The sequence below is a fragment of the Homo sapiens genome, chromosome 14 (genome assembly GCF_000001405.40).
Source record: "Homo sapiens chromosome 14, GRCh38.p14 Primary Assembly".
Lineage (NCBI taxonomy): Eukaryota > Metazoa > Chordata > Mammalia > Primates > Hominidae > Homo > Homo sapiens.
In genome coordinates this window covers 23628310-23648009 of record NC_000014.9, presented here as the reverse complement: position 1 = coordinate 23648009, position 19700 = coordinate 23628310, and the positions used below count along the sequence as shown (strand labels likewise).

At 49.0% G+C, this 19700-nt stretch overlaps 1 protein-coding gene across 11 annotated transcripts; it reads right to left on the bottom strand.

Annotated features, from left to right (window-relative positions):
- Positions 1–2370: 2370 nt before the first annotated feature.
- DHRS2 (dehydrogenase/reductase 2) lies at positions 2371–17895 on the bottom strand. Of its 11 annotated transcripts, none has more exons than XM_005267249.1 (9): positions 17775–17895; positions 9006–9183; positions 8654–8831; positions 8115–8216; positions 4791–4858; positions 3848–3899; positions 3467–3601; positions 3128–3183; positions 2371–2868 (listed from the first exon to the last, which is right to left on the bottom strand). In XM_005267249.1, exons 2-9 carry the CDS (start codon positions 9143–9145, stop codon positions 2757–2759), a joined length of 843 nt encoding a protein of 280 aa, XP_005267306.1. In that variant the 5' UTR covers positions 9146–9183; positions 17775–17895; the 3' UTR covers positions 2371–2756. The 11 variants fall into 11 exon arrangements, 8 of the variants coding, with proteins under 8 accessions (XP_005267306.1, XP_006720064.1, NP_878912.1 ...); XM_006720001.4 differs by having other exon boundaries at positions 17787–17895; NM_182908.5 differs by lacking the exon at positions 17775–17895 and adding an exon at positions 11238–11646 and having other exon boundaries at positions 3456–3601.
- Positions 17896–19700: the final 1805 nt, after the last annotated feature.

The window sequence follows — 19700 nt, the reverse complement described above, 5'->3', positions numbered from 1 at the left end:
GAGAACCCAGGCTGAGGGGTGTGCTTCCATAAGAATGCATTCCTTCAGCTGCCCATGGAGATGGGTGGCCTGAGGCTGATGCATGGTAGTGCCCACCTTCCAGAGTGGGCAGCCTGGATATGGCACAGATGTCCAGGCAGGGAAAGCTGGATTTAGGGAGGCCCAGCACAGGAGCTGGAGGTGGCCCAATTCCATGAGGAAGGAGGAAAGAAAGAACTTAGTGGGAAGAGAAGGAGCAGCGGGCAGGGCCAGGCACTGCTTAGCCAGAAGACCCTCCCCCCTCAACATCCAGAAATAGTTTTGGAAGTAGGGACATTGGAGAGCTGTAAAAAGTGGTTTCTGATCCAGTGAGAAATCACCGCTCACCTCCAAATGACTGTTCCTCTTCCTTTCCATGGAGTTCCTGGAAAGGAGCGGGAGCCTGGCTGTAGAAGGCCAGGAGGAGGGAGGTGATGCCCAGGGGATCTCAGGCAGGTCCCTGGCACCTCTAGAGATCTGCTTGCATTTGCTCTTTCTCTACTGCAGGGCCTGGGCCACAAAGGAGGCAAGTCTGCTGTGTCACCCCTTCACCCTTTGGCTGCTGAGTCATAGGAATGCCCAGAGGAACCCAAGGAAGAGGCCAGGGCAGTCTGGCTGGGGGTAGTTAGAAAGATTTCAATAGTTAAACCTATCAGGGTTGCCCCACCCTGACCTGGCTGTGGCTTCCTTGTCAGGCCACATTCAAAGGAGTTAAAGAGAATGAAATGAAGGAATAATAGGTGGGCAAGATTAAAGGAACCAGCAAAGGGTAGTGAAGCACCAGGAACCAGCAACAATCATTCCTAGCCTGAAGGGACCAAGCAGGGAGCCAGTTGGTGATTAGGGGGTGGGGGTGGCCTCACAGGAGCCATAGTCATAGGTGGACACAGACACTGCCTTCAGGGAGGGGGCCAGGGAAACACGTGCCCTCCCCAGTTCTAACCCTGAGTGGAAGCCTGAGGGCAAGGGAGCCTCCATGATACAGTACAGAGGTCAGCCTGGCACCACGCAGGGCAGAGAAGGGTGGGGAGTGGATCTGGAGGGCCAAAAACACATCCGGACTCTGGTCTTGTCCATTACTATAATATTACTTCCCATGTCTTGAGGATTCCAGAGGTCCATTTATCCCTTCACCATTAACCGTCCCACCTGTTCAGATCCTGGCCTTCCCACTGAAAGACAGCATTCCTGCAACCTAATTTGTTCGTATGTTTAATGAGTAGGTCTCAGCTCCAATGGCACCTCCACCAGCCTCACTGGAAGCCATGGTCCTCCACGGTCCTGTGATGCTTTGCATATGATGTGCCTACCCTGGCTTGCCCTCAACCCCCACACCCTCAACTCCTCTGCCCTACTCCTTATCTTTTTTATTCTGTACCTAGTAACACTATATATAATATAGTTTGTTATTTATTGTAGTTTCTCCTGACTAGCATGTGAGCTCATAGGGCAGCAAATTTTGTTTTGTTCATTGCTATACCCTAAGCTCCTAGAACAGTGCCTGGCACAGAATGATAGTCAATAAATGTATCAAATGAATAAACATGTTCTGCCTCATTTTCTGATGACTATTCTACCTTCTGTTTTCCCACCACACTGAAGGAACTGGAGGGAGGTTTGGTCTTATTTACGTTTGTGTTCTCCAGGGTGCCTGGCACAATGCATAGCTTGTAGTAAGATGCACAAATGCTTTTGTAATTGAACCATTCACACCACAAGGACCCGTCCCCGGCTGGTGTGGAGAGGAGGTGTTGCTGAAGGGCTTCCATGAGACCAAGGCCGGGGGTCAGCTTGGAAGCCTTGTCTCAGTTCCTCCCTCTGGACTGGTTCAGGACAACATTTATGGGTGGCAAGAGTGGTGCTCAGGGCCACGGATGGCTCGAGGACCACTGTTCCCCCTCCACTGTGCTGAGCCTCAGTATGCATACACAGAGGGCGGTGCCCCCGAATATGACTCAGGACAATACACAGGGCCTTTTCTGAGAAAGCCATGTGTTCACCCCAAGAGGAACTTCAGCTCTGACTACTCTCCTCTAACTGGAATTATGCACAAGATTCGGTATAACTGTTTTCTCTGGGTTCTCAAAGGCCTGTGTGGCCCAGAAAACATTAAGAAGTATTAGCCTGGAGGACCCCTGGGAGAACCCCAGAATCTTTCCACTGTCACCCACCACCACCTTGCTGAGCCCCCAGCAGGCCCAGTTCAGATAATGGAGCACACACAAAGCCTTCTGCAAGGCAGCACACTCACTCCCGCCTCTGTGTGTCTGCGACGAGCTCAGGGCAGCTGGCGGTAGAGGCCTCTTCCCACCATGCTGCCCTGGGCTCTACCCTTGACAGATGCTTCCAGACTTGAGGATAAATTTGAGTTTATTTTAGGAAAAAAAATGCTTAAAGCACAAATTACAGAGAGGAGGAGCTGAAATCCTTCAAAGGCCTGAGCTTCTACTCCTTTCCCTTAAGATTCCTCCAAAGCACCAGCTCCATAAAATCCTTCAGCTCCCCAGACCCACACCAAGAACCCCACATGTTAATTGGATCAGCCAAATCTACAAGCAGATAAGTCCTAAGGAGAATGCCGAAGCGTTTTTCTTCTTCCTCAAGCCTAGCATGAGTAAGCCCCCAAATTGCTAGTCTGGCAGAATGGCAGACTCTGCCTCCAGATCCAAATGATCACCTAGACACCCCCTCAGGCTCCTGGGCCTGGGACCACAGCTACGCAGCCGCCCCCACTCCTCTCAGAGCCGAGTGGAGTAGCCTGCCACCGCAATGTTCTCCCCGTTGACGTAGCTGGCATCTGGAGAGCACAGGAAGGACACGATTCCTGCACAGTCCTCTGACTCCCCAATCCTGGATGGAAGAAGGACACAGTGTCAAGCATCTTGTACTCTGATTCTGCTGCTCTGGGGCTCACGGATGACAGGTGGGAGTGGGCTCCATGGGGAACAAGGTGGATGCAGCAGGGCTACTTGCACCCTCCAGGGCCATGTGGACTCCAGATTTCAGCAAAAACAATGGCCAGATGACAGGGAGGGGTCTGCTCTTGCAATAGACTCAACTGCCCCTGCCTAGCCACACATGGACCACCAAATCTCCAAACCCCACTTGCCTCTGCAGCTGATGATGTTCCTTGAAGTTCTTCCAGAGAGACTCATTCCCATGAAACTGGGCAAAGGGAAGAAATGAAGGAGTCAGTGCTACTAAAACAAGATGGGCAGGGCCCCGGGAAGGCCACCAGGCAGAACACCTAGGGCAGCTTTGCCCTTCTCAAAAGAAGGAGCATCTTTTCAGGATGGATGGACTGCACCATGGCTGAGTTCAGAGAACAATGAGGACCTCAGTCATAGGCATGCTGACCTAAGGATTCAGTCACCCCTTGATCCCTTATTCACTGGGAAGGGTTCCCACTGAGCCAGACTGGGAGATGGAAGACACACCCAATCCTCACCACTTTGCTGAAGTCAGTTTTGATAATTCCTGGAACCACGCAGTTTACCCGGATGTCCTTGGGGGCCAGCTCCAATGCCAGTGTTCTAGTGAGACCCAGCAGCGCTGTCTTGCTGACATTGTAGACACCCAGCGCCTGGGAAGGGAATTGACAGAGTGATTAGGATATGGGAGAGTGGGGGAAAGCATCAGTTGGATTTCTCACCTACAGGGATCTCACAGGCCCAGCAGCCCTCCCACCCACATGGAGACAAGCTCAGCCCAGGGCAGCAGGAGGATGGTGGGGGTCTGTCCCAGGCACTTTGTCTGTAAGGCTCTGAGGAAAAGAACAAAGTTGCCCCTCACCCTATACCACTCAGGAGCACAAGGACCAAGCACTTACCACTACTGGATTATAAGCTGCAATGGAAGAGACCAGGATGACAGCACCCCTCCTGAGACAAGACAAACATAAGAGAAGCTGAAGCTAAGAGCTTACCACTGATGGTGACACTATCATGAGTTCATTAAATGATGCAACCCTCACAGAAGCAACACAGGTCCTATTACTGTCCCCATCTCAGAGTTCAGAAAACTGAGGCTCAGAAAGGTTTAGTACCAGCCAATACACGGCAGAGCTAGGATTCCATGCCTATTTCTCATAAATACGATGTCCATGCTCAGAACCCTTATCTTCTGCTTCCTCTCTTGCCAGGTGCTTGAAGGAGAGGGCAGGGTGGGCTTTGTGAAGAGGCACCCAAGGCTGATGGTGAGTGCCTATCAATGAGCAACCTCTAAGGAGCAGATGGGGTAAGGGAGACCAGAAGTGACAGTCAGGAACTTTCCTTCTACTGAAGACAGCCCCTGGCCAGTTCCTAAGGGTGTGTCTGTGAGGGGTACAGTCAGATCTGCAGGACCTGGAACACAGGCAGGGTCCCTGGAGACCAAGCGCAGGCATGAGGAGAGGTCTGGGACAGGCTTTTTCCTATGGAGAGGAATGGGGCTAACCCTGTCATTGGTTTTAAGTTGGTAAGAACAGAGAGCAGGTAAGGTGACAATGACCAGCCCACAAGGTCAAGGAGTTAAAGCATAGCCTTGTCCCAAACCTGCTGATGTCAAGGCCAAGGAGGCTATGCCTGGGCCCCTGGAATACTACTCTCATCCTGCAGCCACTGGAATTGGGAATGGCAGCCACACAGATGGGGAGGCAGGACAAGAAGATGAGGGATGTGGAGATCCCAGACCTCTTCTGTCCTCTACCCACTACTGGCTGTGCTACCGACTGTATTTCTGTGCCCACCTCAGGTCCCCAACTCCGACTGGTCCCCACCCCCGCCCTGCCATACCTGTTCTCCATGTAGGGCAGCAACTGGCTCAGCAGCAGGGCTGGGGACTTCACGTTCACACTTAGGATCTGAAATCAGAGCAGAGCATGGGTGAGGGCAGAGAGACATGGTCAGCCCAAGTCCTGCTCTCATAAGACACTTGGAGCCCTGTAATTTGTGCAGTAGACCCAATGTATGTGCATATAAGAGAAACCAATCCCCCTTCTGACTGGTGCAAGAGGTATTTCCAATTTGCTAATGGTTTCATAGGCAGGCAGGCTAAGTCACAGGCCTGTGAGCAGAGCCCTGAAAATGTGAATTGTTCAGGACTGACACGAGGAAGGAAATGTTCAGGCCTTTTAAAGAAAATGGGGACTGGGGGCAGTGGGTCATGCCTGTAATCTCAGCACTTTAGGAGGCCAAGGTGGGAGGATTACTCAAGGCCAAAAGTTCAAGACCAGCCTGAGCAACATAGTGAGACCTTGTCTCTACAAGATTTTTAAATAATTGGCCTGGTGTGGTGGTGCACACCTATAATCCTAGCTACTCAGGAGGCTGAGGCAGGAGGATCCCTTAAGCCCAGGAGTTTGAAGCTGCAGTGTGCCATGATCATGCCACTGCACTCCAGCCTGGGTGACAGAGTGAGACCCTGTCTCTTAAAAAGAAAACAACAACACACTGTAAGCAGAGGCCTCTGGAGAAAGACTGAAGACAGCCTGATGGAGGGGAAGCAGGTGCTAGAAGCAAGGGAGATTTCTGGAAGAGCCTTTTTTGTCTCTCTGAGCTTTCATTTGCTTGTCCTCTTACCTTGTCCCCATAGAATTTAAGGCATACTCACAATGCAACAGCATAAAATAAATCAAATAGGTACTATGTGTGAAGAAATGGAGAAAAGGAAAAATCAGTGTAGAAAAATAAGAAAAAGCAAGAGTGAGGTTGGTGCCTACAGTTCACAGCATGTGATAAGGACTGAGCATTTATTCTATTATTTGGTCATAAAAATGCAGGCTGTAAGGGCCTACACACACCAGCTTATCGCAGACTTGGCTCTGAGCTTTCCTGCAGCCAATACAAACAGGGAGACACAACAGAGAATTGCCATGCTGGGAGCTAGATGTCTATGCTGATCCTGCTTGTGACTAAAGTCTGAATCTGGGCTAAGTCACACATGTCCTGACACTCTGGAAGCTCTGTCTGGTGGGTCTGGGAACGGGGGAGAAGTGAAAGAGGAAGTAGCAAGGAAAGATGCAGAGGCGGAGCCTGGGAGCTAGGGCAGTGCCAGGTGGGACTGACATGGCACCAGGAGTCCCTCCTGCAGGGATCTGTCCTGATTCAGGTCAGCTGCATCCTGCATCTCTAGGGAATGAGACCACATCTGCAACTCACCAGGACTGTTCACTGTTTTTTCCACCCCCCAATCTCACTCCCACTCAATCCCTTGGATGTGGGAAGGAGAAATACTTAAGCTGAATGTTGCTGTGGCCCATTTGATGACAGGTTACCAGTGTGGGGGATGACCCCCAATGACTGCAAGAAGTGGTCCAGATGTCAGAAGTGGGTACCACCCTGAGGTCCCTAATAAGAAGGAATTGAGGATTAGGTTAGCTGTAAGGGTTTCCTGGTCAAAACAGACCCCAACCAGCCCACAGGATATCTGTCCAATACTCCATGTGCATCAGGCTGAGTGAGGGGCTGAGGTAAGACCCCTCCTGGACTCAGGAACAAAAACCAAGCCAAAGAAAAGGTGAGACTCCCTCCCTTGATGAAGAAAACTGCCCCATTAGAAAGTAAGAGAGAGTAGCTCAGTGTGCCAAGTAGTTCTGAGCAGAGAACTATCCATGAGCCTGAAAGAGGGCGCACGCTGGAGTCGCTGGAGAAGGATGGAGGTGATGTGGTTTTGGTAGTTTAACAGATCAGAGGTTTCCCAACCTGCTGGAAAGAAGGGGGGTCTGCCTGGAGATGGCCTCAAAACTGGCTCAAGAATAAGATGAGTGGTAAGGAATTCTCCTTACAGGACACCTACGGAAAACACATTTAGTTGAAAGCAGAGCATCTGGTAAATTCTAAACTCATTTTGTGACAATTTCACCTCTGAGGTGATGGCAGATGTGATCGGGGACGAGTCATCAATGATTTCTGTCCAGTGGTACAGAATTGCTCACTGAAGGCCAAGTCCTTGGAGAACAGGGGAGAATCAGAGAAAGTAAGGTCAGATTGTTGGCATCTGCCCTCAGCTTCAGGAGGGAGGACTGCAACAGTTTCGAGAAAAAGAGTCATGATCCTGTGAACTGAGACACTAAACAGCAAAATGATTCAGGAGGGTTAGGAGACTGTCAGCAATAAAATCCCAGCTATAAAATCACAAATGATCCTTTGGAGGCATTAACAACATAGCTAAAGAGCCTGGGGAAGCTGCTCAGCAGGGGCTGCAGGGAGCTCAAATTTCAGATCATCTCTGAGGATGTAGCCAAGGGCACCCAGCCAAGGGCAGATAGAAGGGAGGGGCCAGCCTGAAGATGATGTTGGCAAGTGAGAGTGCAGGATCTAGGGAAGGCAGAACACTCTAAGGCCAGAAGGCAGGAAACACTTTGACCCAGTGCTTAGGGCAGAGTGGTGAATGCTCACAATAGCAGAAAGAATGAGATTCATCACGACGCATTCTGGCAGAGAGAACAGAAAACAAAACATGAGAGTGAAGGGAACAGAAGTCACTGGGGAACAACTAGGCCCAAGATGAGCTTCAAGGCATTTTACAAGGTCTCTCCCGGTCCCTTGTGGACAAGGTAGCAGAATCCTTGAATGGACTTACAGCAGGCTGGGATGTCTAAGCCCCCGGAATGCTGATGGCTGGATCTGGTCCTGTCGGCAAGTTTGTGTGGGACTCAGTGAGGAGCCCCCTTCTAGGAGAGACAGTCTCCGCTACAGGCACAGGTCACCAAAGAAAAACACAGTATCCGTATCTTCCCCTACAAAAGGGTGTACCATACAAAAATGTTTGACTCTTACAGAGAGACTCTGACTAACCATTCACAGCTGTATCCCTAGAGCCTGGAATAGTGGTGCCTGGCAGACAGCAATAAATACCTGCTGAATGATTAAATGAAAAAGTGATGAGAAGAGAAAACAAAGCAGAAAGTGTGGGGGCCAGATTTAAGAACCAACAAGCCAGAAAGTAGCATCCGGGCACATTTTGGGAGACAGCTGGCCAGGCAGGACTACCACCCAGGGCCTGCTTCTCCCATAACCTCTGGAGGGAAACAGAGTCTTGGTGGGCACAGGCATGCTGGAGCCCAGTGCAGAGCTGGAATCGGGCCCTCAGCCGCCTCCCCAGGGGAGGCCTCTCACCTTGTCCCAGATCTGCTCACTGGTCCCCAGAGTGCTCCCTACCAGAGGGTTGACCCCTGCGCTGCACACCAGGAAGTCGACGCCCCCACAGTGCTCCAGGGCCTGCGGAGAGGAGATTGGATGAGTGTGGAGATGGCCTGAGGAGGACTATCCCTCCCAGGGCAGCCCAGGTCATAAGGCCTTCAGGCAAAGCTTGCAGAGCTCCTAAAGGAAAATGACCTAGGTGTCCCAAGGGCAGGCTCCTGGGGCCAGGCACTGAGAGAGGAAGGTCTGCTCCAGGAGTCCCTCTGGGGACCTCCCTCACCCCTTCAGACTCCTCCTCCACAGTGATTCTCCCCGGGCCTGGGGGTGGGGTGAGGGTCCTCTCACGAACAGGTCACTTTCCTGAGGGACCTTCTGGGTAGCGAGGTTAGCTTGGGCAGCCTGGGTGCAGTCATGGTCTCAGGACATATTCTAGACCCACCCCACAAGGGCCAAGCAGTGAAGGAAAGGTTCTGCATGTTCCCCTCTCTGTGTCCTTCCACCGCCTGCCCCCTCACCTTGGCCACCAGCTGCTCCCGGTCCTCAGCCTTCCCCACGTGGCACACAATGCCCGCCACACTCAGCCCCTCCCCCTGCAGCTTGGCCATGGCCCGGTCCACGTTCTGCTGCTTCCGGCTGCTGATGACCACGTGGGCCCCGTCCCGGGCCAGACGTCGGGCGATGGCAAAGCCGATCCTGAATGCAGAGATGGAGGGCAAAAGTCAGCCTCAGCCTCTCTCCACTGTCCTTCCTCTACCCAGCTCTGGAAATCAGCAAATAAGGCTGGGTCTTGCTTTAAAACCCTGAGTCCTTGTGGAAGCCACAAGGACCCTGTGAGGGGCCAGGACCCATGGGCAATCCAGCACTCACCCACTGGTGGACCCCGTGACCACGGCTACCCGGTTAGCCAGGACGCCCTTCCTGTCTATCCCGGTGCTGCTCATCCTCACAGAAAGCCTAGCACAGGGATGAAACCAGCCCTGGTAGCCCCGGGCAACTGCTGACAGCATAGTGGTTGGTGTCTGAGATGCTTCCTGCTGAATCAGGCCTGGGGGAAAGAATCAATTTCACTTATCACTGATGCCTCAGTGAGCATGAAGGTAATCTACCCTCCTCCTTCCTCCAGACAGACAAGGCCAGCAACAGAAAGTGGCAGAGAGTCAGGCTGGTTAGGGTAAATTTCAAACATGTGAACCTCAGGTCAGGAAAGCAATCCATGAAAACTCCTAAGCTATAAAACTGGGGAAATTATTCACAAATTAAAATGTGAGACTCAACATTCATTAGACAAGGGTGATTTTTCCATCCATTGCATAGCAAACATTGAGCACTGGCAATGTGTCAAGCACTGGGCAGTAGAGGCGGGGACACCTTAGTAAACGACAGACTCAGCCCTGGACCCCAACCATGCAGCTTCCCAGTTAAATGAGATGCCAGGCACCAACAAATAATTATACCAGTTATTAATTAACTGCTTCTGTGTCTGGAATTGGTGGGTTCTTGGTCTCGCTGACTTCAAGAATGAAGCCACGGACCCTCGCAATGAGTGTTACAGTTCTTAAAGATGGTGTGTCCGGAGTTGTTCATTCCTCCCATCCGGAGTTGTTCATTCCTCCCGTCCGGAGTTGTTCATTCCTCCTGGTGGGTTAGTGGTCTTGCTGGCTTCAGGAGTGAAGCTGCAGACCTTCGCAGTGAGTGTTACAGCTCTTAAAGGCAGTGCGTCTGGAGTTGTTCATTCCTTCTGGAGGGTTTGTGGTCTCACTGGCCTCAGGAGTGAAGTTGCAGACCTTCGTGGTGAGTGTTACAGCTCTTAAAGGCAGCGCGGACCCAAAGAGTGAGCAGCAGTGAATCAAGATTTATTGCAAAGAGCGAAAGAACAAAACTTCCACAGTGTGGAAGGGGACTCAAGCAGGTTGCTGCTGCTGGCTCGGGTGGCCTGCTTTTATTCCCTTATCTGGCCCTGTCCACATCCTGCTGATTGGTCCATTTTACAGAGAGCTGATTGGTCTGTTTTATAGAGAGCTGATTGGTCCATTTTGACAGAGTGCTGATTGCTGTGTTTACAAACCTTTAGCTAGACACAGAGTGCTGATTGGTGCATTTACAATCCTTTCGCTAGACACAAAAGTTCTCCAAGTCCCCACCTGATTAGCTAGACATAGAGTGCTGCACCCTTGCTTGTCCTCCTAGACCATGAGGAGGACCGAGAAAAATCGGATTTAGTGGCCCTTACCGACGCATTCTCGAAAACCTGTTAGAGTCCTAAGCATTCTCCTGTTAGTATTGGGAACTTACCCGTGTCCTATAAAGATGTTATGCCCCAAAAATGAAGAAGAGTAACCTGAGGGAGGGAAGGGGTCTCCAGGGTTGGAAAAGTGACACCTTTTGTCCTCACTTATATGAATAGGAAGGATACAATTTCTGAGGCTCCCCCTATCCTAGCTTCAGGAATAGCTTTTGTTAGACCTGCTTATCTGAGGAGGGATTCTAAAATTCCAGATAGTTCCCCCTACAACTGGGCTTTGGGCAAAAATTATGTCTTTCTGATTGGTGAGCCCAGGTGCCTAAAGAAGGTAACAGAGTCCTGAAATTTTTACTAGAAATCATTCTTATAAGAGAAATTAGAAAAGCACCAGAGACAGGGAGTGGTTTTTTAGAAGTGGGACTAGCCTAGGAGAAGAGAGGAGAGAGAAAGTTTGTCTGGCAGGCATTAGGACCCAGCGAGCAAGGGTCAGGATAGATAGGATAGATAGGTGAGTCTCACTTGGGCAACATGCCTTTGAGAGTTCCGCTCATGGCCGCAGGGTCAACCAACTTGTTGTGGGGACTCCGGAGCTGAATGGCTTTCCTCTCTGTTGACCCTCAGCTCAGCCCAGAAGTACAGGAAAAGCGGAAGCTGGTTCCAGGCAAAACAACATTCCCAACTCCACAGAGCCAGGGGTTGTTAGAGATCCCTTTCCCAGAAAGCCTGACACCCACGTTTTTAGTCCAGCGGCTGCGCTAGTCACTTTTAACTGGCCGACAGGTGCCCAGAATTTAGCCACCGAATTCTAAGGAAAAATAGGACAGAATAGCAAATGAAAGGGATCTGATGGTACTCACCACTTGGCGATAGGTGATAGTCTCACCGCTTGGTGATGGTCTCACCACTTGGCAATAGTCTCACTGCTTGGCAATAGTCTCACCACTTGGTGATAGGTGACAGTCTCTTCAAAGTCACCAAAATGTGTACGGAATTGATGGGTTCTTGGCCTCACTGACTTCAAGAATGAAGTTGCAGACCCTTGCGGTGAGTATTACGGTTCTTAAAGATGGTGTGTCCAGAGTTGTTCATTCCTCTCGGTGCATTCGTGGTCTTGCTGGCCCCAGGAGTGAAGTTGCAGACCTTCGCGGTGAGTGTTACAGCTCTTAAAGGTGGCACGGACCCAACGAGTGAGCAGCAGCAAGATTTATCATGAAGACCAAAAGAACAAAGCTTCCACAGCGTGGAAGGGAACCAGAGCAGGTTGCTGCTGCCGGCTCAGGCAGCCTGCTTTTATTCCCTTAACTGGCCACACCCACATCCTGCTGATTGGTCCATTTTATGGAGAGCTGATTGGTCCATTTTACAGAGAGCTGATTGGTCTGTTTTACAGAGAGCTGATTGGTCCGTTTTGACAGAGTGCTGATTGGTGCATTTACAAACCTTTAGCTAGACACAGAGTGCTGATTGGTGCATTTACAATCCTTTAGCTAGACACAAAAGTTCTCCAAGTCCCCACCAGATTGGCTAGACACAGATTGCTGATTGGTGCATTTACAAACCTTTAGCTAGACACAGAGTGCTGATGGGTGCATTTACAAACCTTTAGCTAGACAGAAAAGTTCTCCAGGTCCCCACCGGACCCAGAAGCCCAGCCGGCTTCACCTCTCAATGGCACACACTGCAGGACTTTGCGGCACCTAGCCCAGGCACTCCAGCAGCCCAGAGGGAGCTCATCCCCCAGTCAGGCCCAGCTGGCACCGGCCGGCCCACGGAGCCCCTGCTGGCCGGTGAGTGCCCTGTACAGTGTGGGCTCCTGCCGGCGCCTCTCCCTCCACACCTCCTGGCGAGCAGAGGGAGCTGGCTTCGGCCTTGGCCAGCCCCAGAGAGGGGCCCCCACAGTGCAGTGGTGGGCTGAAGGGCTCCTCAAGTGCAGCCAGAGTGGATGTGGAGGACGAGGAGGCACCAAGAGTGAGCAAGGGCTGCTAGCATATTGTCACCTCTCACTTCTAGTTGAAAAAGCAAAATCAACAGAAACTCTCATTCACTGCTGGGTAGAGGGTAAGTACAATCACTTTGGGAAATGATTTGGCATTATACGGAGAAGTTGAAAATAAAGATCTCTGACTCTGTAGAGGGAACTTGCATCCTGCAGACAGGAGGTCATGTGTGCACCAAGAGACTGTACACACAGGTTCAGAGAAGCCTGCTTAGAATGTTCCAAACTGGAAACAAGTCTGTATTAGTTTGTTTTCACACTGCTATAAAGAACTAACTGAGGCCAGGCACGGTAGCTCACACCTGTAATCCCAGTACTTTGGAAGGCCAAGGTGGGCAGATCCCTTGAGCTCAGGAGTTTGAGACCAGCCTGGGCAACAAGGTGAAACCATGTCTCTATAAAAATTAGCTGGGTGTGGTGGTGCATGCCTGTAGTCACAGCTACTCGGGAGACTAAGATGGGACGATTGCTTGAGCCCAGGAGGTCAAGGCTGTGGTAGGCTGAGATTGCACCACCGTACTCCAGCCTGGGAGAGAGAGCAAGACCCTGTCTCAAAAAAAAAAAGAACTACCTGAGACTGGGTAATTTATAAAGAAAAGAGGTTTAATTGACTCACAATTCCACAGGCTGTACAGGAAGCATGGCTGGGAAGGCCTCAGGAAACTTACAATTAAGGCAGAAGGTGAAATGAAGCAGGCAGAACTTACACAGCTGGAGCAGGAGGAAGTGAGAGCAAAGGGGGAGGTGCTACACACTTCCAAACAACCAGATCTCATGAGAACTCACTCACTATCACAAGAGCAGCAAGGGGGAAATCTGCCCCCATGATCCAATCACCTTCCACTAGGCCCCCTCCTCCAACATTGGGGATTACAATTCGACATGAGATTTGGGCAGGGACACAGACCTAAACCATATCAAAGTCTATATGCCTATTAACGGTGGAATGGATAAACAAACTGTGTTGCATTTCTATAATGGAATACTATACAATAATGAAAATGAATGAGCTGAAGCCACACTGAACAACATAAAGGAATCTTAAAAAATATACTGTTGAGTAAAAGAAGTCAGACACAAAAGAATACATATTATTTGAGTCCACAAGTTTCAACAACAGGTAAAACAATTCTATATTGCTTAAGAAGGCAAACAGGTGACAAAAATACAGAGAAATGCAGGGCAGTGATCACCACAAAAGTGAGGAGAGTGGGTATTTCCGCAGTAGAGCTGTGGGGAGGCAGTTATGATTAAGAAGGTGCAAACAGGCTAGGCACGGTGGCTCATGCCTGTAATCCCAGCACTTTGGAGGCCAAGGCAGGGGGATCACTTGAGGTCAGGAGATGGAGACCAGCCTAGCCAACATGGTGAAACCTCATCTCTACTAAAAATACAAAAATTAGCCAGGTGTGGTGGCGCATGCCTATAGTCCCAGCTACTTGGGAGACTGAGGCAGGAGAGTCGCTTGAACCCAGGAGTTGGAGGTTGCAGTGAGCCAAGATTGCACCACTGCACTCCATCCTGGGTGACAGAGGGAGACTCCGTCTCAAAAAAAAAAAAAAAAAAAAAAAAAAGAAGGGGCAAACTAAAGAGCTTCTAGCGTGCTGGCAATGTTGTATTTGATAAGCAAGTGATGCCTACATGATGTCCATGAAGATATATTATATCACCTATGTATGTGTATACTTTTTACGTATGTGTTATAATTCACAATTTAAAAGTTTAAAAGTAAAGATTACCTGCTCATGGTAAATTTTAAAATTCAAGCAGCTTAAAACTTAATTCAAAAATTAAATCCTCCAATTCCCTTCTCAGAAGAAAATTTGCCAGCATCTCAGATACTTTCTCAAAGTTGTTCTATGCAAAGGGCTTTGCTTTAAATAAGCAAAACTTTCTGATTTTAAACATTCAGTTCACAGAGGGCTTTCATGGAGTATCCTAGCCAGGAAGCAGAGGATCAGTAATGAGTGTCATGTGAGTTCCTTGAACACAGGCTCCACTCCTCCCTCTTGGGGCCCAGGGCTTGAAACACAGGAGTGCTCAATAAGGCTGGTGAGCTAATCAGGCTGGGAAAGTTGCAGGTAGATAGGACCTGCAAGACTGAGGAGGATTTTGACAGGGGCAGCAACAGGATAGATCCTCCTGTCAAGGGGAACAGGCTGAGAGGAAGAATGGAGGGTGTGGATGTCCAGGGTGTTTGGGAGAGAGCAGGGATGCCTATGTGCCTGGAATACAGAGAATGGGGGGCTCATGCCTGAGAAAGCAGACTGCAGTTCTGAATGACTCCAGCAGGCCGGTGCTGATTGAAGCTCTCTGAAGGGATGTCCGTGGAGCTGAGCCAGTTAAACCAGCCACAGACATCCAGGCTGCTGTGTGGAGACCTGTGCCCTCAGGAGGCCCTTCAGAAGGGAACGGTGTGCCTCTGTAGCTATGCGCAGATGTGAAGGCAGGGAGAGGATCTGGCATGGGAGACTCAGGTATGAAGATATATCACCATGAACTGGAAAATGCCAGGGATGCTTGTCTAGGAGACCCTCTTTCACCCAAATCCTAATTTCCCAGCTCCACATTCATGTTAGCCCAGAGGCTCCTGCCTTCCCCTATGTGGGATTCCCATTGGCCTGCCATTCCCTACTCTAATGGAAGAATCTGATGAGCTTCCTGTTGAGAGAGGGAGGGAAGGAGTGGTTCCAGCAAGGGGTTAGTTAGCAGGGCACTCAGGGACTTAGCAGTGTGCTTTTCATGTGGGACAGGACAGTGCCAGGAAGGTGAAGAGAGGCAGGCTCTGGCAGCTCTGGGCCAAGGGGCCGACAGATGTGAACTTGCAGGAGGCTCTGGCCTGGGATGACTCTGTCTACAGACCCTCATCAGTTCCAGACATGCTCTGGCCACTCCATCACCAAGGGACTCCTGGTTACTAAGCAACCCCTGCCTTACCTACTGCATCTCCCCTTGTTCCTTAGCAACTCTTGCATAACTCAGTTCCTTCGAGTTAGGGGTCTGTATCTATAAATTATAAGTGAATGGGTGCTGCTCAGGAATTGTGAAGAAACTGTCTATTAAATATCAGTCTGTACTCAGTGTCAAAATGCAGGCGACCAAATGCTTTGCTTTGGGAAGGAAGCCTTGATTTCCGATTTATATCTCTTCTGATATTGTATTTCCAAAAACAATCTTTGTAGGTCCTAGACCTCCTCCCTCTTTCCTCCCAGCTGCTTCCACTCTGCCTGCTGTTGCTCTCGCTTACTCTCTCACGCCTCTCTCCTTCCTGCAAGGTCATATTTACAGCCTTGCATTACGTGGAGACAAGGGGTTTCAGCTCCTGATTGGTCTACCTTTTCTAAACAGGACACCAGATTCTGAACATTGTTATGCCCCCCCTGGGGAACTCCTCTCCTTCTGCTGCGAGCTCAGATTAACCCCCTTTTGAGGTTGAGAGGAATCCAGTCTCCTTGGCTGGGAGGACAGCAGGAAAAAGAGGACTCGCCTTTTGTCGGGACAGGACGCCCCCTGCTGGAAGGCTAGAGTAACAGCACCTGTGAGATGTGTTCCTAGCTCAGCAAGTCTGGCTGTCCCCTTTCTGGCCTCTAACAGTTCTTACCAAGCCCTGCTTGTCTGAACTTGCCTCAATGTGGTTTGCAGGAAAGCTGACCTATTGTAAGGAAAGGCAACTCTGCCTGGACTGTTGCAGGTAAACAACCTGCAGAGATGAAGTCAGGCCTCCTCTGTCTCCCCTGCTTCCCCTTCCCATGCAAAGCCCCTCTTTTGCCTGGGAGGATGGGAAGAGTGAGCAGCTTCCAAGGCCTCTGGTTCACCCTACCCCACTCACTTATGCTTTCCCCAAAACAGTCAGCTCGGTCAGCTGCAGCAGAATTGACCACAGGTCCTGGGAGCTTAGAATGGTCCCTGAGCCTGGCACTGCCCACTCTGATACCCCTTTCCATGCTTATCAATTCAGATGCCCAAATTTGGGGGTGGGGAAGCTGAATGGGCACACCCTTAACCTAGTCCCATCTTGGAGGTGAATGGCCTTCAGCACTGGTCCAAAGAGAGAAGAGAAGGGAAAAGGAAAGGGGTGGGGGGGGTAGAGGAAGAAAACAAAGATTAGAGGAGAAAGAATGAGAGACATGGAAGAGTTAGAAATATTGAAAATCAGAAAAGAGAATAATGTAAACAGGAAATAAAATTCTAAGCTCCCCAACCAACTGAAAGCACTCCTCTGCTTGGCAAAGGGCATTCCAAAGTCAACTTAAAAAACCAGTGCAGGCCATGATGGGAATACAGGGTTGGACATGCCTCATTATACCCTCCTCCCTTTTGAGTTCAGGCATGACTGACCAGCATTAACAGTAAAATGGAGATCTTAGGGCTGAAAAAACAGACTTTTAGCAATAAGATACCAAATTCTAACCTGACTCTAGTATAGCATCACATGACAGATAGCAGGTCCTGAAAAAAACTGAAGTATTTTACATCAAAATGCATTTCTTTGACATTTTTTGAAATGGCCCTGCAAAGCTGTCTCTTGTGAGGAAAATTTACATCCTATAGAAAATCCCCTTCTCTTTCCAGGTCTTTTCCTGATCCAAGAGAGATTTAACTAAGAGTCTGGCACCTTTTAGGATCTGATAAAAAATATTTACAATCTATTATCTATGATGCCTACTACCTGGAGGCTTCATCTACGTTAACAAGAACCTTGGCTCCCACAACTCCCCTTATCTTAACTACAAACATATCTTTCTATTGACCTCAACTCTTTAGGCAGAGCTTAACCCTTTCAACCACTTGCCAATCAGAAAATCTTTAAATCTACCTGTGACCTGGAAGCCCCCACTTCAAGATGTCCTGCCTTTCTGGGCCAAAACAATGTAATCCTTACATGTATTGATTTGTGTCTCTGCCTGTAGCTTCTGTTCTCCTAAGATGTATAAAATCAAGCTGCAACCCAACCACCTTGGGAATATATTCCCAGGACCTCCTGGACCTGTGTCATGGGTCATGGTCCTCACATTTGGCTCAGAATAAATCTCTTCAAATATTTTACAGTTTGACTCTTTTTCATCAGCACTAAGGAGATATCAGCAGAAGCTGTGTGATCTTGGACAAGTCTGTTCCCCTCTTGCCTCCATCTGTATCACAGTAAAATAAGGGGTTGACTTGGGTGGTCCAAAGGACTTTGATAGCCCCAAGAGCTTTGTATTGATAATCAAAGAAGAAATAGACTGAGCTGCAGACATAGAGGCAGGAAGAAAGAGCATCAACATAAAAAGTGAACAGGAGTGAAGATGGGCAGTTCCAGTCATTATAGACCCAACCCAAGGCAGTGAGGCAAGGCAGCCCCAGCCTGAGCCACATCATGCCTGCCCTGGGCAGTGTGATGCTGGCCCAGGCTTACCTGGCTGTGCACCTGTCTGTCTGGAGTGCAGTTTGGCAGCCCTTCTGTCAGGCAGTCTGCAGCTGAGTATGAGGATGTGAGTAAGCAGCAGGCTGGATTTCAGGCACTGCAGATTCTATCTGAACAACACAAAGATTCCTGGAATTTATAGCCCCAGAATTCAGAAAGGTTGGAGGAGGGTTTCAGAAAAGGCCTCACCCACAACTTGGGAGGAAACCTAGGGGAAGTGCAGGACTTGTTGTCTGAGTAATATTCTGCAGAATGCTGCACATACCACTTAACAAGCATAACCAGCAAAAGAGTCCAGCTGCTTGCTGCTTGTGGAAAGAAGTCAAAATAATAATAGTTATGATAAGAGGGAGCAAGATGTCTTTATTATCCATGCTAGCAGGGGAAGAGTAGAAAGCAATTCCACTCTTCAATTCGTGGAGGGAACGTAGGAGTTTTCAAAGAAAGGGTTTGGAATACAGAATATGACTAATTATATAGTATTAATAATATAATAATAATTAAATTATTTAAATCATTATAACTAGGCTCAAACACATCTTTAGTAATAAAAATAGGAACCATTACAATCAACACATTTTTGCCAATGAGAAATAAGTTTATTTATTCCTGTAGCATAAAAATCCATGCTTCAGGATTCAGCAAACTCTTGGAAAGCATTTTCTGCATCCTGCTGGTTGTGGAAGTGTGTTCCCTGCAAAAAGTTGTCGAGATACTTGAAGAAGTGGTAGTCAGTTGGTGAGAGGTCAGGTGAATATGACAGATGAGGCAAAACTTCAAAGCCCAGTTAATTCAACTTCTGAAGTGTTGGTTGTGCAATGAGTGGTTGGACATTGTCATGGAAAACTGGGCCTTTTCTGTTGACCGATGCCTGCTGCAGGTGTTGCAGTTTTCAGTGCATCTCATCAATTTGCTGAGCATTCTTCTCAGAAGTAATGGTTTTGCCAGGATTCAGAAAGCTGTAGTGGATCAGACCAGCAGACCACCAAACAGTGACCATGGCCTTTTTTTGGTGCAAGTTTGGCTTTGGTAAGTGGTCATTGCTGGTTGTCATATAAAATTCACTTTTCAACTGGATAGTGGTTCACTGTTGTTGCATAGAATAAGAGAAGATGACACTTTAAAATAATAATTTTTTTGACTTTGAGTCAGCTCATGAGGTATCCATTTATTGAGCTTTTTCATCTTTCCAATTTGCTTCAAATGCTGAATGTAGAATGGTCAGCAACTTCTAGTGCAGTTGTAAGAGGATCAGCTTGGATAATTGCTCTCAATTTGTCATCAGCTTCCAATGGCCAGCCACTATACTCCTCATCTTCAAGGCTCTCGTCTCCTTTGCAAAACTTCTTGAACCACCACTGCACTGTACATTTGTTAGCAGCTCCTGGGCCAAATGCATTGTTGATGATGTGAGTTGTCTGCACTGCTTTACAACCCATTTTGAACTCAAATAAGAAAATCGCTCAAATTTGCTTTTTGTCTAACACCATTTCCATAGTCTAAAATAAGTATAAAATAAACAGCAAGTAACAAGTCCTTAGCCAAAAAAAATGCAAAGCAAGAAATGCACATTAAAATGATATATAACATAAGCGCATATATATTTTTTTTCTCTTTTTTTTTTTTTTTTTTGAGACGGAGTCGCACTCTGTCGCCCAGGCTGGAGTGCAATGGTGTGACCTTGGCTCACCGCAAGCTCCGCCTCCTGGGTTCATGCCATTCTCCTTCCTCAGCCTCCTGAGTAGCTGGGACTACAGGGACCTGCCACCACACCCGGCTAATTTTGTTTTGTATTTTTAGTACAGATGGGGTTTCACCATGTTAGCCAGGATGGTCTCTATCCCCTGACCTCGTGATCCACCTGCCTTGGCCTCCCAAAATGCTGGGATTACAGGCGTGAGCCACCGTGCCCGGCCA